At 40.5% G+C, this 13237-nt stretch overlaps 1 annotated feature.

The window, feature by feature from the left end:
- Positions 3030 to 4229: an enhancer, noted in NCBI's record as "BRD4-independent group 4 enhancer chr8:127445690-127446889 (GRCh37/hg19 assembly coordinates)". NCBI's record gives its function as "activates an origin of replication core promoter dependent on BRD2, P300/CBP, MED14 and CDK7 cofactors, and independent of BRD4, by STARR-seq in HCT116 cells {active_cell/tissue: HCT116}" and the evidence as "EXISTENCE:reporter gene assay evidence [ECO:0000049][PMID:35650434]".

Below are 13237 nucleotides of genomic sequence, written 5' to 3' on the forward strand. Positions count from 1 at the left end.
GGATTGAAGTGAGGCAGCTTAATGCTGAAGAGGACAGCTGGCAATGTAGCAGGGAAACAGAGCCTACCTTGCTGCAGATAAATCAATATTCTGCTCCAGGCCATTAGTGGCTGGTTATTATTTAAAAACAAAAACCTGCAAATGTATTGGTTATCCCTTGATCAGACTGTGTCTCCAAAGGATTCTTTTATGATTCTTCCATTTTCCAAGTTGCACAAAACAATTTCCCATTAACCATATCCTCGCATATTCTGCTTACTAAACCAAAGCCATTTACATAATGGGTAATTTCACACACACATTAGCTAAATATAGGTGTAAACAAATACGTTGCTAAAGTTTGGACACATTTGGAGAATGCAAAACATCTAGACTATGGGAGAGGTGGAGGATTGGAGCCAGGTACATACACGTTCCAAATTAAGGAAAACCAAAAATATATATACATATATATATTATAAATATTAGATACATATTACAAATATTACATATATGTAATACATATGTAATATACATATATATAATATTTGTAATAGCACTTGCTACACTCTTCTAAGCACTGCTCTTGTATTAATTCATTTAATCCTCCCAGATACTGTATGGTGTAATTGTACTGTTATTTTCATCTCCCACTGACAGATGGGGAATGATGATATAGAGAGGGTCAGTACTTTGCCCAAAAGCAGAACTGGGCACTGAAGCCAGGAAGACTGGCTCCAGAGTCCATGTGCATAACTATTAGACTACTGAAGTCATCCTCAGAGGACTGACAAGAATTCTCGACAGAAATATAGTTATAATTAAGCATTTATCAGGCTGTGCTTGGACCCATTTTCTGGTAACCAAAAGTCATGTAGCACTGGATACTGACCATTTGCATTCCCATTGTTCCTATAGACAAGATTTCTAATGTGAGAATTGTAAGACTTTCACTTAAGAATTGCCTAAGATGTTTTTCAGATCCTGAATTCCAGAAAAACAGCTGATGTCAACTAATGTGAAGACCCGCACAGAGGCACGGCATCGACCTGAGAGTACAGTTTCTTCATCTCCCTGTCTATGATTTTACCCCGCACTTTTTGACCAATCAACAATCTTCACACTTTGGCCCATTTCAATACTCTTAAAAACCCTAGCCCCAAATTCTTTGGGGAGATGGATTTGAGGTTTCCTAGCATCTCCTCATTCAGCGGCCCTACAGTTTTATCTCTTTCTCTATTGCAAACCAGGGTCTCTTCTAGGCATATCAACTTGCTACATTGGGCAACAGATTTGTTACAGTTACACCAATACTGCTAATCTACTCCGTGGTGGGTTTTCCAAACTCAATAACCATTTTACTATCATGTGCCTAGGTTTTGACCCTTGCTACCAGTGGGCTCCAGGTACCTTTCTCTATTTCACTAAGCCTCAATTTCCACATTTGTACAACAGAGATAAAAATAGAGCCAAGCCCAAAGGGATAATCGCAATGAGGATTATTCACTGCTTCATTCAAAAGCTATTCACTGCGCACCTACTGTGTGCCAAGCACTGTCCTGAACAACTAACAGAATTGACAAGACTTCTTCCTTCAGGGAGCATATAATAAACAAGATAGAGTGGGGAAGAGGCAATAAACACAATTGTAGCAAAACTATTATACTACATTGGAAGCTAATATAAACTATTTAAAGAAATATAAAGTATAAAAAAGAATGGGTGTGCTGGGTTGGAGGGCTGTTGGAATTTCAAATAGGGGCCGGGGTGCAGTGGCTAATGCCTGTAACCCTAGCACTTTGGGAGGCCAACGTGGGTGGATCACCTGAGGTCAGGAGTTCAAGATCAGCCTGGCCAACATGTGAAACTCTGTCTCTACTAAAAATACAAAAATTCACCGGATACGGTGGCACACGCCTGTAGTCCCAGCTACTCGGGAGTCTGAGGGAGGAGAATTGTTTGAACTCTGAAGGCAGAGGTTGCAGTGAGTCGAGATCTCACCACTGCACTCCAGCATGGGCCACAGAGTGAGACTCTGTCTCAAAAACAAACGAACAAACAAAATTCAAATCGGGGAGAGGGGCCAGGAAAGTCCTCAGTGAGGATGTGACATTTGGGCAACACCACGTTTCAAAGGGTCTCCTGTATTTAATTTGCAATTTAGGTAAAGTAAAACATAAAAATCACTTAGCTTAGTGCCTGATACAACATGGGTACTCAACAAATATGTAGTTACCTGCCCAGTAAGGCAAAATAATTATTTTTTAAATTTTTACTTAAAAACAATAGTAGGCTGGGTGCGGTGGCTCACGCCTGTAATCCCAGCACTTTGGGAGGCCCAGGTGGGCGGATCACGAGGTCAGAAGATTGAGACCATCCTGGCTAACACGGTGAAACCTCGTCTCTACTAAAAAATACAAAAAATTAGCCGGTCATGGTGGTGGGCGCCTGTGGTCCCAGCTACTCGGGAGGCTGAGGCAGGAGAATGGTGTAAACCTGGGAGGCGGAGCTTGCAGTGAGCCGAGATCGCGCCACTGCACTCCCGCCTGGGCGACAGAGCTTGACTCCGTCTCAAAAAAAAAAAAAAAAAAAAAAGTAGTTACTCTTCTTTCTAGTAGTGGAGATAGAAAATTTCTCTGGAAGAGACCTTGTTTCTGACGGAAAGACCACTGAAAAGACCCTTTTTAGTTAGGCACATGTTAAAAGTAAGTGGGCATTCCCCACACTCACACAGACATTTTTTTTTGGGAGAAGAAAGTTAATAGTAGAGTTTTTTTTCATTTGGCTGTTGTGGAGGTTTTTCTTTTGTAGCTTTGTGGGTTTAGTTATGTAGTGTTGTGTGTGTGTTTGCTGTTTCCTTTGGGGTATCGAATGATTAGGGTTCCCTTTTGTGGGAAGGCAGAGTGATGCAGCTCCTTCCTCGTGTCCCTTGCAACCTTGAGCTGTAATGTTGATGGGCACTGATGACCAAATTTATAGAGGGAATAAAGGATCTTCTAGTAGAGCAGCAATCCAGCCCTCCAACCCTACCCTTGAAATTGTCTTTGCAAAAATTATGACCGTGAGAGAAATCTGACATAGCTGACTCTATCTTGCCTCTAACATCACAAGCTAACTGCCTTCGTTAACTTTAAAACACAGATGATAACAGTTCCTTCCTGAAACCAACCTCCTCCTTATTCAGGGACTAAAACTGCCTTTGTAAGACCACAAGGTTAGGATTCCGGGAGGAACCTGAATTCTGCTGATATGTCGATGTAGTTAAACGATACCCAGCTATTGTTCCCTAGCTTGCCTTTCTATAATCACTTACTGCTCAAGAGTCATGTAGCTGGCGGTAACAAGAAGTGTAATTTCCCCAATTGCTTTTATAGATAATGTCACTATTATCTAAAGCTAAGATTGGTCTTTGAGATATTTTTCAGATTTTTGCATTCTGATGACCAACTCCACTTGGAACCCCCATGACTCATGTCAAGGAACTAACTCAACTGGTCCTGTAACTCTCACCCAGGAACTGACTCAGCACATGAAGAATGTTTTTCGACACTCCTATGATTTCATCATCAACCAGTCAGCAGCACCCATTCCCTAGCCACCTGCCTGCCACATCATTTTTAAAAACTCTACCCTCTCAGAGGCAGAAGTTGCAGTGAGCTGGGATTGCGCCAGTGCACTCCAGCCTAGGTGACAGAGTGAGACTCTGTATCAAAAGAAAACAAAACAAAAAAAACAAACAAAAAAGTCTACCCTCTGAGCTCTCAGGGAGGTGGATTTGAGAAATGTCTCCCATCGTTCTGCTTAGCTGGCCCTGCGATTATTAAACTCTTCTTTGCTGAAAAACCTGCTGTTTTCAGTGCATTTTTCTTTTCTGGGCAGCAGGCAGGAAGAACACCCTTTGAGTCTCCAAATTATTTTATGAATGTCCAGTGTATTGTAGTGGCCCTAATAGAAAACAGCCAGCAATGAAGAAAAAAGATGTATGTCTGCTAAGAAAATCCAGCATAAAGAAAGGGGAAGCTGGCATTCAGAGCTCATCACCAAAGCCTGAGTGTTCTCTCTGGAAGCAATGGGACCCATGCAGTCCTGTTGACAACAATTAAGTCTTGCTAAGTATGCAATGCTTTCTAGCAGTCAATCTGACTCAGAGAACCAAAATTATTCTGAAGATGTCCCCTGACGCTTGTCTTCTGGTTATCCAATCAAACACTAAACTGTATACTGTTGTGAAGGGACTTTACAAGTGTAATGAAGGTCACTAATCAGTTGTCCTTAAAATAGAGAGATTATCCTGGATTATTCTGAGTGGGCCCAATCTAATCAAATGAGCAGTTAAAAGAGGAAGAGGAAGGAGGAGGAGCCAGTTAGAGAGATTCAAAACATAAGAGAAACTCCACCCCCTGTTGCTGGAGAAAGTCCACCAGGAAAGTATGAGAAGGAAGGAAAGTTCACAAGGAAAGTGTGAGAAAGGCTCCAGGAACAAAAGTCCAGCCCTGGCTGGCAGCCAGGAAGGAAACTGTGACCTCAGCCCTGCAACTTCAAAGAACTGCTAAATGAGCTTGGAAAAAGATTAATCTCCAGGCCCTTCAGAAAGAAATGCAGACTTTCTGAGACCTTGATTTTGGCCTTGGGTAATGGGACAGAGAAACCAGCTGTGCCAACCCAGACCTCCGATATGTAGGACAATTAGATCATCAATTTGTGTTACTTTAAATCACTAAGTTTGTGATAATTTGTTATGGCAGCAGTAAGAAATTAACATGCCAACCTTTCAGACACATATTAGGGAAAGTGGTTCTGTGTGTGTATTTGTGTGGTATGTCGTATGTGTTAAGTACAAAGATCAAAGTGCCTTAACCAGTTGTTCTGTGATGGAGGATGTCTGTGTGAAGTGGACTCACAGTCTTTATCTTCTTCCCCCTCAACCTATATTTGGAGAAGTACTAGTAGGCAGCCAGACTATAGGGCAGTTGAAGCAGTGGAGAACAGACCTCTTCACTGGGCTAATCAGCAGTAGCCCTCTATTCTCTCTCTCTCTCTTTTTTTTTTTAAAAAAAATCAGAGTCTCACTCTGATGCTCAGGCTGGAGTGCAGTGGCATGATCTTGGCTCACGGCAACCTCCGTCTCCTGGGTTCTAGTGATTCTCCTGCCTTAGCCTGTTGAGTAGCTGGAACTACAGGCATGTGCCACCATGCCTGGCTAATTTTTGTATTTTTAGTAGAGATGGTGTTTTACAATATTGGCCAGGCTAGTCTTGAACTCCTGACCTCAGGTGATCCACCTGCCTCAGCCTCCTAGAGTGCTGGGATTACAGGCATGAGCCACTGCGCCCAGGTTTTGTTTTGCTTTTTTTTTGTTTTTGTTTTTGTTTTTGTTTTTTTAGAGGGTCTCACTGTGTCACCCAGGCTGAAGTACCATAGCGTGATCTCGGCGCACTGCAACCTCTGCCTCCTGGGCTAAAGTAATCCTCCCACCTTAGCCTCCCAAGCAGTTGAGACTACAGGCACACACTACCCACGCCGGACTAAGTTTTTTATTTTTTGTAGAAACAGGGTCTCGCCATGTTGCCCAGGCTGATCTTGAACTCCTGAGCTCAAGTGAACTGTCAGCCTTGGCCTCCCAAAGTGCTGGGATTACACGTGTGAGCCACTGTGCCCGTTCATTTCTAACTGTCTGCCTCATCTCCGTCCTCACTCACAACTCTGACTCACCTCAAGGAAAGTCACATGAAGTCTTCTTTTTTTGTTGTTTGTTGTTCTGCCTTTTAAAAAAATGCATAAAATACACATAACATAAAATGTACTATTTTAACCATTTTGAAGTGTATAGTTCAGTGGCACTAAGTACATTCATGTTGTGAAACCATCACCACAATTAATCTCCCAAGCTTATCATCAGCTCAGACTGAAACTGGTATCCGTTAATTTATAGCTACCCGTGAAAAGAAATAGATTAATCCTTGCATGAAAAAGTCATTGGTTTGCTTGAACATATCACAGAGAGAATGCTTTTACATGCATTATCTCAATTGCTCATCGCAGACTTGCAAAGTTAAGTTTTATTTCCAGAATACCACAGCCAATGGGTGATGGAGACTGTATTTTAATGCAGGTCTGTCTGTGGGACTCCAAAGTCTATAATCTTTCTAATAAGGATGCTCAATGGGTGATCATACTGTGCGTATCTTGTGTAGATGCCCAATAAATGATTATTTTCTAAGCTACCTGCAACTGAGGAATTCTCTCTTCCTTAACTTTTATTTTGTGGTTGACTTTTAGCATGACCAAATCAAATAAAAATTTGACAGAGGTAACAGTTTAACTTTCAGATATCAACTGCATAAAGAGGCTCTATCTGAAGATCTCATTTCAATGCAGAAAATTTTTCCCTCCCAGAGCTAGTGTCAAGGCAATCCATAGAAAAGGAGATCAAGAGATGCTATCCCAGGAGAGAGGGCTGATGAGACTTTTTAGCAAGACATCTGTTTGTATCATTGGAGTCTAAGTTACACTACTTAATGGCTGGATGATCATGGACAAGTTGCTTAACCTCTTTATGAATGGTTCTCACCAGCAAAATGGGGATAATAATAGTACCTGCTTCATAGAGTGGTTGAGAATGTTTCAAAGTCTCCATTTGAATGTTCAGATAGATACTTCAAATTAAACAGATCCAAACAGTTCAAATTAAACATGGTGATTCTGATTTCCTTCCCCAAACTATTCCTACCTTAACTTTCTCCATTTCAATAATTGGGAATTCCATTCTTCAAGTGGCTCAGCTCAAATACACGCATATATAAAAGGAAAGTTTCTTTATTCTTCCTTCACATCCCATATGCATTCGCAAAATTCGAACACCCCAATCTTGAAAAATATTCCCAGAATCCAGCCACTTCTCACCTTTAACCATTGGAAACCTTGTTTGAGTCACCGCAGTCTTTCACAGTGACTTTCTAATGGTCTCTTTGCTTCCACCTTTGGCCTTCTATGGTCACTTTTCAAAGCAGTGGCCAGCAGGATGCTTTGAAAGCAAATGAGCTCATGACACTTCTTTGTGCAAAACCCTCCAATGGCACTCCACTCACTCAGAGTAAGCGCAAACCATTACATTGGTCTACAAATTCTACACAATTTCTCCTCTCAGCCATCCTTCTAATCTCCCCTCCTATAAGCTCCTCAGGTCACAATGGTCTCCTTGCTGTCTCTTGAAAAAAGTCATGCATGTTGTTGGCTAGGGCCTGTCCTTGTGCTGTTGCCTCTACCTGAAAGTTACTTTTCCCCCAGATATCCACATACCTGCCTCTTCACCTCCTTCAAGGTTTTCCTCCAAAATCGTCTCTTAGGCAAGGCCTTCCCTAAATGCTTGATTTAAATTTCTAATCCCAAACCTCCACCAACCACATCCACAGACTTCCTATTCTTCTTCCCCATTTTTTTTTTTTTTTTTGGTAGTATAAAACCTTCATCGGGCCAGGCACCATGGTTCACGTCTGTAATCCCAGCACTTTTGGAGGCCAAGGCATGTGAATCACTTGAGGTTGGGAGTTCAAGACCAGCCTGGTCAACATGGTGAAACCCGGTCTCTACAAAAAATACAAAAATTAGCCAGGCGTGGTGCTGTGTAGTCCCAGCTACAGGGAGGCTGAGGCAGCAGAATCACTTGAACCCGGGAAGGCAGAGGTTGCAGTGAGCCGAGATTCCATCACTGCACTCTAGCCTGGGCAACAGAGAGAAAACCCTGTCTCAAAAAAATAAAAATAAAAGTAAAATTTAAACCTCATCAAGTTGTAATACGATTGATACTTACTGTTATTTATTTATTTATTTATTTATTTATTTATTTATTTGAGATGGAGTCTTGCTCTGTTGCCCAGGCTAGAGTGCAGTGGCGCAATCTCGGCTCTCTGCAACTGCCACCTCCCGAGTTCAAGCGATTCTCCTGCCTCAGCCTCCCTAGTAGCTGGGATTATAGATGCCCGCCACTGGGCCCAGATAATTTTTGTATTTTTAGTAGACACCGTGTTTCGCCATCTTGGCCAGGCTGGTCTCTAACTCCTAACCTCGTGATCCACCGTCCTCGGCCTCCCGAAGTGCTAGGATTACAGGTGTTAGTCACAGCACCAGGCCGATGCTTACTTTTTAAATCATTTGTTTCTGTCTACTAAAATATACGTTCCATGAAGACATAAATTTTGTCTATTTTGTTCACTGTTGCATTTCTCTCAACTTTGGTGCTATTCACATTGTGGGCAAGAGGAGTCTTTGTTGCCGGAGACTCTTCCGTGTGTTGTAGGATGTTTAGCAGCCACCCTGTCTTCTACCCACCAGATGCCAATAGCACCCTCCCAGTTAAAGTATGCTAAATAACTCCAAATATTGCCACATGTCCGCCAGGAAGCAAACTCTGTCCCTGTTCAGTATCACTGGTCTAAAACAAAGCCTAACACAAAGCAAATGCTTGGTAAGTATGTGTTGAATAAATAAATGAAAAGTAAATGTATTACTATGTCTAAAGCATATAGAACAGTGCTTGGCACATAGTAAGTACTCAAGAAATGTTAATTATGTCCATTAAGAGGAAAGTGTCGTTTTTGTTATTGTTGCTGTGTTGCTATCTACGTCTAGAATAAACCATAGAGACAACTGTTTTGTGGAGTCTTAGGATTTGATGCAAATTTCACTTTTTAAAAATATATTTGAATTATTTTAAAAACTGCCATACAAAACTCATAATTAGAAATGTTAACACATTGGATGCCACCAATTCATTAACTTGTGTTGCCACATTAACTTATTTTTGTGCAGACCTCAGAATACACCATCTTCTGCCATCTCTGTGCACACATTTTAAATGTGTTGCTGATCAGGAGGCTGTAGTTTGGCACCGGTATTTATTTTTATCCCTGTCTATGCCTGTTGGCTCATGTGAAACTGTTCAAGCAAGTATTCTATGGTAGAGTAGTATCAAACATACATTGATTTAATCTGCCCATATTCAACTATCCATGCTTGGCCAAAAAATAAAGAGAGAAAATCATAATTTTCATTGAACATGAGCCCCTAATGCAAGCCAATTACTTCATCTGGTGCTCAACTAAGGCAACAGCAATCTGTTCTACCCTGGAGGAACAATTGTCCATATTAGACTTAGCGTGAATTTGGGCTACTACACAAAACTAATATATCATATTTTATGGGCGATTTAGAATATTTTTTTGTGGGCAATTTTGATCATATATGTTTATAGTCCTTTATTATATATAATCTCAACATCCAAAAGTTATTTGAGAACAGCATTTGAAGCAACTCCTTTGATAGCAAATACTGTGAGGTTATTTACGGTCGTTGTTTTCCCTAAAACAATGAGATGTCATGAAACGCTGCCCCAGACCTCACTGAAGGTGTTAACTAGGAGAAAACACATGCATCTTATTAACTTTATAAAATACGACAATTCCGAGTTTCCAAACACATCTGACCACACAGTTTTAGAAGATGAATTATGGATTGGTAACTGGTTTTTAAATCCCTTTCTGGTTTTCGACCCTTACCCTTGAGTAAGAAGTTACTTAATAATGTTGCCAAACCACTATTCAGCACCCACTCAAAAAATGCTCCCTACCTGTATCCCTCATGTCAAAAGACTGACAGTGAATAGAAAATATATGTAGCATGTAATAATATATGGAGGTAGTTATAATGCTGAATATAAATTTGGGGTACTTATCTCACTTCATATTTACAATATCAAATAAAATTAGTTGTGATATAATCCGTATAAACTAATAAGCATGAAGAATGAATGTACTAAATACTGTGTTACTTTTTTTTGAGACAGAGTCTTAACTCTGTCGCCCAGGCAGGAATGCAGTGGCACGATCTTTGCTCACTACAACCTCCGCCTCCCAGGTCCAAGTGATTCTCCTGCCTCTGCCTCCTGAGTAGCTGGGACTACAGGTGCACCACCATGCTTGACTAAAATTTTTTTCATTTTGGTATTTTTTTTTTAGTAGAGACAGGGTTTTACCATGTTGGTCAGGCTGGTGTTGAACTCCTGGCCTCAAGTGATTGGCCAGCCTCAGGCTCCCAAAGTGCTGGGATTACAGGCATTAGCCACGGCGCCCAGCCCTAAGTGTTACTTTTATTATTATTATGATCATCATCATCATTGTCATGCCTGGTGGTTAATATTTGAAACCAAATATTACTCTTCTTCCATCACACTTCAGCAGTAGTTTATTTAAAAATAATCCTGGGATTATAAGGCAAAGTGTTAAAAGTTGTCACATGACCAGGCACAGTGTCTCATGCCGGTAATCCCAGCAGTTTAGGAGACCAAAGCAGAACAAAATATCCCACGCTCATGCACCAGAAGACTTAATATTGTTAAGATGACAATACTATCTAAATTAGTTTACAGATTCATCACAACCTCTATCAGAATCCCAGCTGACTTTTTAATAGAAATTGATGCTCATTCTAAAATTTACATGAATTTGCAAGGGATTTAGAATAGTCAAAATAATTTTGAAAAAGAAGAACAAAGTACAAGAGCTCACACTTCCCAATTTCAAAACTTATTATAAGGCAACAATAATCAAGACAGTGTGTGATACTACATTAAGGATAGCCATATAGATCAATGGAATAGAATTAAGAGTCCAGAAAGGCCGGGCACAGTGACTCACACCTGTAATCCCAGCACTTTGGGAGGCCGAGGCAAGTGGATCACAAGGTCAGGAGATCGAGACCATCCTGGCTAGCACAGTGAAACCCTGTCTCTACTAAAAAATACAAAAAATTAGCTGGGCGTGGTGGTGGGTGCCTATAGTCCCAGCTACTCAGGAGGCTGAGGTGAGAGAATGGTGTGAACCCAGGAGGCGGAGCTTGCAGTGAGCCAAAATCGCACCACTGCACTCCAGCCTGAAAAAAAAAAAAAAAGAGAGAGAAATAAAACCATGTGTTTATGTCCAACTGATTTTTGACAAGGCTGTCAAGACCATTTAAAGGGGAATGATCTTCAATGAATGGTACTGGGACAAGCAGATAGCTGCATGCAAGAGTGAAGCTGGACCTTACCTCACACCATATACAAAAATTAACTTGAAATACATCTAAGACCTAAAGGTAAGAATTAAAACTACAAAAGAAGAAAGCATAGGGTTAAATCTACATGACCTCAGATTTGGCAAAATATTCTTAGATATAAAACCAAAATCATAAGCAATAAAACAAAAATATATGAATTAGATTTCATAAAAATACAAACAACATTTGTGTTTCAAAGGATACCATCAAGAAAGTAAAACGACAACCCACAGAATGGGAGAAAATATTTGCAAATCATGAATCTAATAAAGGACTTGTATGCAAATATACAAAACAAACCTCTTAACAACTAAATAATAAAAAGGCGAATCACCTAATTTTTAAAATGGACAAAGGATCTGAACAGATATTTATTCAATGAAGATATACAAATGGCCAGTGAGTGCATTAAAAGATGCTCAATGTTATTAGTTATCAGGAAAAAGCAAATCAAAACCACAGTAAGGCCGAGCATGATGGCTCACACGTGTAATCCTAGCACTTTGGGAGGCCGAGGCAGGTGGATTGCCTGAGTTCAGGAGTTCGAGACCAGCCTGGGCAACATGGCAAAACCCTGTCTCTACTAAAAATACAAAAAAATTAGCCAGTCATGGTGGCGTGCATCTGTAGGCCCAGCTCGTCAGGAGGCTGAGGCATGAGAATCACTTGAATCCGGGAGGCAGAGGTTGCAGTGGGCAGAGATCAGGCCACTGCACTCCAGCCTTGGGGGACAAAGCAAGACTCCGTCTCAAAACAAAACAAACAAACAAACAAACAAACACAGCAAGACAGCACTTCACACTGCCAGGATGGCTGGGACCAAAAAGTCAAATAATAAAACGCGCTGGCAAAGAAGGCAGAGAAATCAGAATCATCATATACTAGTGATGGGAATGTAAAATAGTACGGACACTTTGCACAACAGTCTGGAAGTTTCTCAAATGGTTAAACATAGAGTTATCATATTAGGCCAGGCGTGGTGGCTCACACCTGTAATCCCAGCACTTTGAGAGGTTGAGGTGGGTGGATCGCTTGAGGTCAAGAGTTGGAGACCAGCCTGGCCAACGTGGTGAAACCCCATCTCTACTAAAAATTTAAAAATTAGCCAGGCATGGTGGCAGGCACCTGTAATCCCAGCTACTTGGGAGGCTGAGGCACTAGAATCGCTTGAACCCGGGAGGCAGAGGTTGCAGCGAGCCGAGATCATGCCACTGTACTCTAGCCTGGGTGAGAGAGTGAGACCCTGTTGGAAAAAAAAAAAAAAAAAACCAGCGTTACCACATGATTCAGCAATTTCACTCTAGGTATATAATCAAGAGAAATGAAGATATATGTCCACACAAAAAAAAGACACAAATATTTCCAGCCACATTATTCACAAGAGCCAAGAGATAGAAAACAATTTAAAAGTCTTTGAACCAGTGGATGAATAATCTGAAGAATGAATAAAAATTGTAGTATATCCATGCAATAAAATATTATTTGGCTATAAAAAAGAATACAGTACTGATACATACTACAATATAAATAAATCTTGAAAACATGATGCTAATTGAAAGATGCCAGTCACAAAATTCCACGTACTACATCATTCCATTTATATAGATGTTCAGAATAAGCAAAACTGTAGAGACAGAAACTAGGTTAGTGGTTGCTTAGGGCTGGGGGAATATGAGAGTCTGGGGATGGCGAAAGCTAGAGAATTTATGAAGTTTCTTTTTGAGGTGATGAAAATATCCTAAAGTTGACTGTAGCGATAAATGCTATAGAAGTAAATATACTAAAAAATCGTTGAATTGCACACACTAAATGGGTAAATTGTATTGTATGTGAATTACATATCCATAGAGGTGTTTTAAAAAATCAATGTAGTTCAGTATATTAACAAATATAAAAAAGCATAACCATGTGATCATCTCAATAGATGAAGAAAAAATATTGCTAAAATTCTTTTTTTTTTTTTCTTTTGAGACAAGATCTTGCTCTGTCACCCAGGATGAAGTGTGTTGGTGCAATCTTGGTTCAATGCAACCTCCACATCCCAGGCTCAAACAATCCTCCTGCCTCATCCTCTCAAGTAGCTGGGACTACAAGCATCTGCCACTATATCTGGCTAATTTTATTTTATTTTATTTTATTTTATTTTATTTTATTTTATTTATTTTTT

The sequence above is a fragment of the Homo sapiens genome, chromosome 8 (assembly GCF_000001405.40).
Source record: "Homo sapiens chromosome 8, GRCh38.p14 Primary Assembly".
In the NCBI taxonomy this organism is placed as follows: domain Eukaryota; kingdom Metazoa; phylum Chordata; class Mammalia; order Primates; family Hominidae; genus Homo; species Homo sapiens.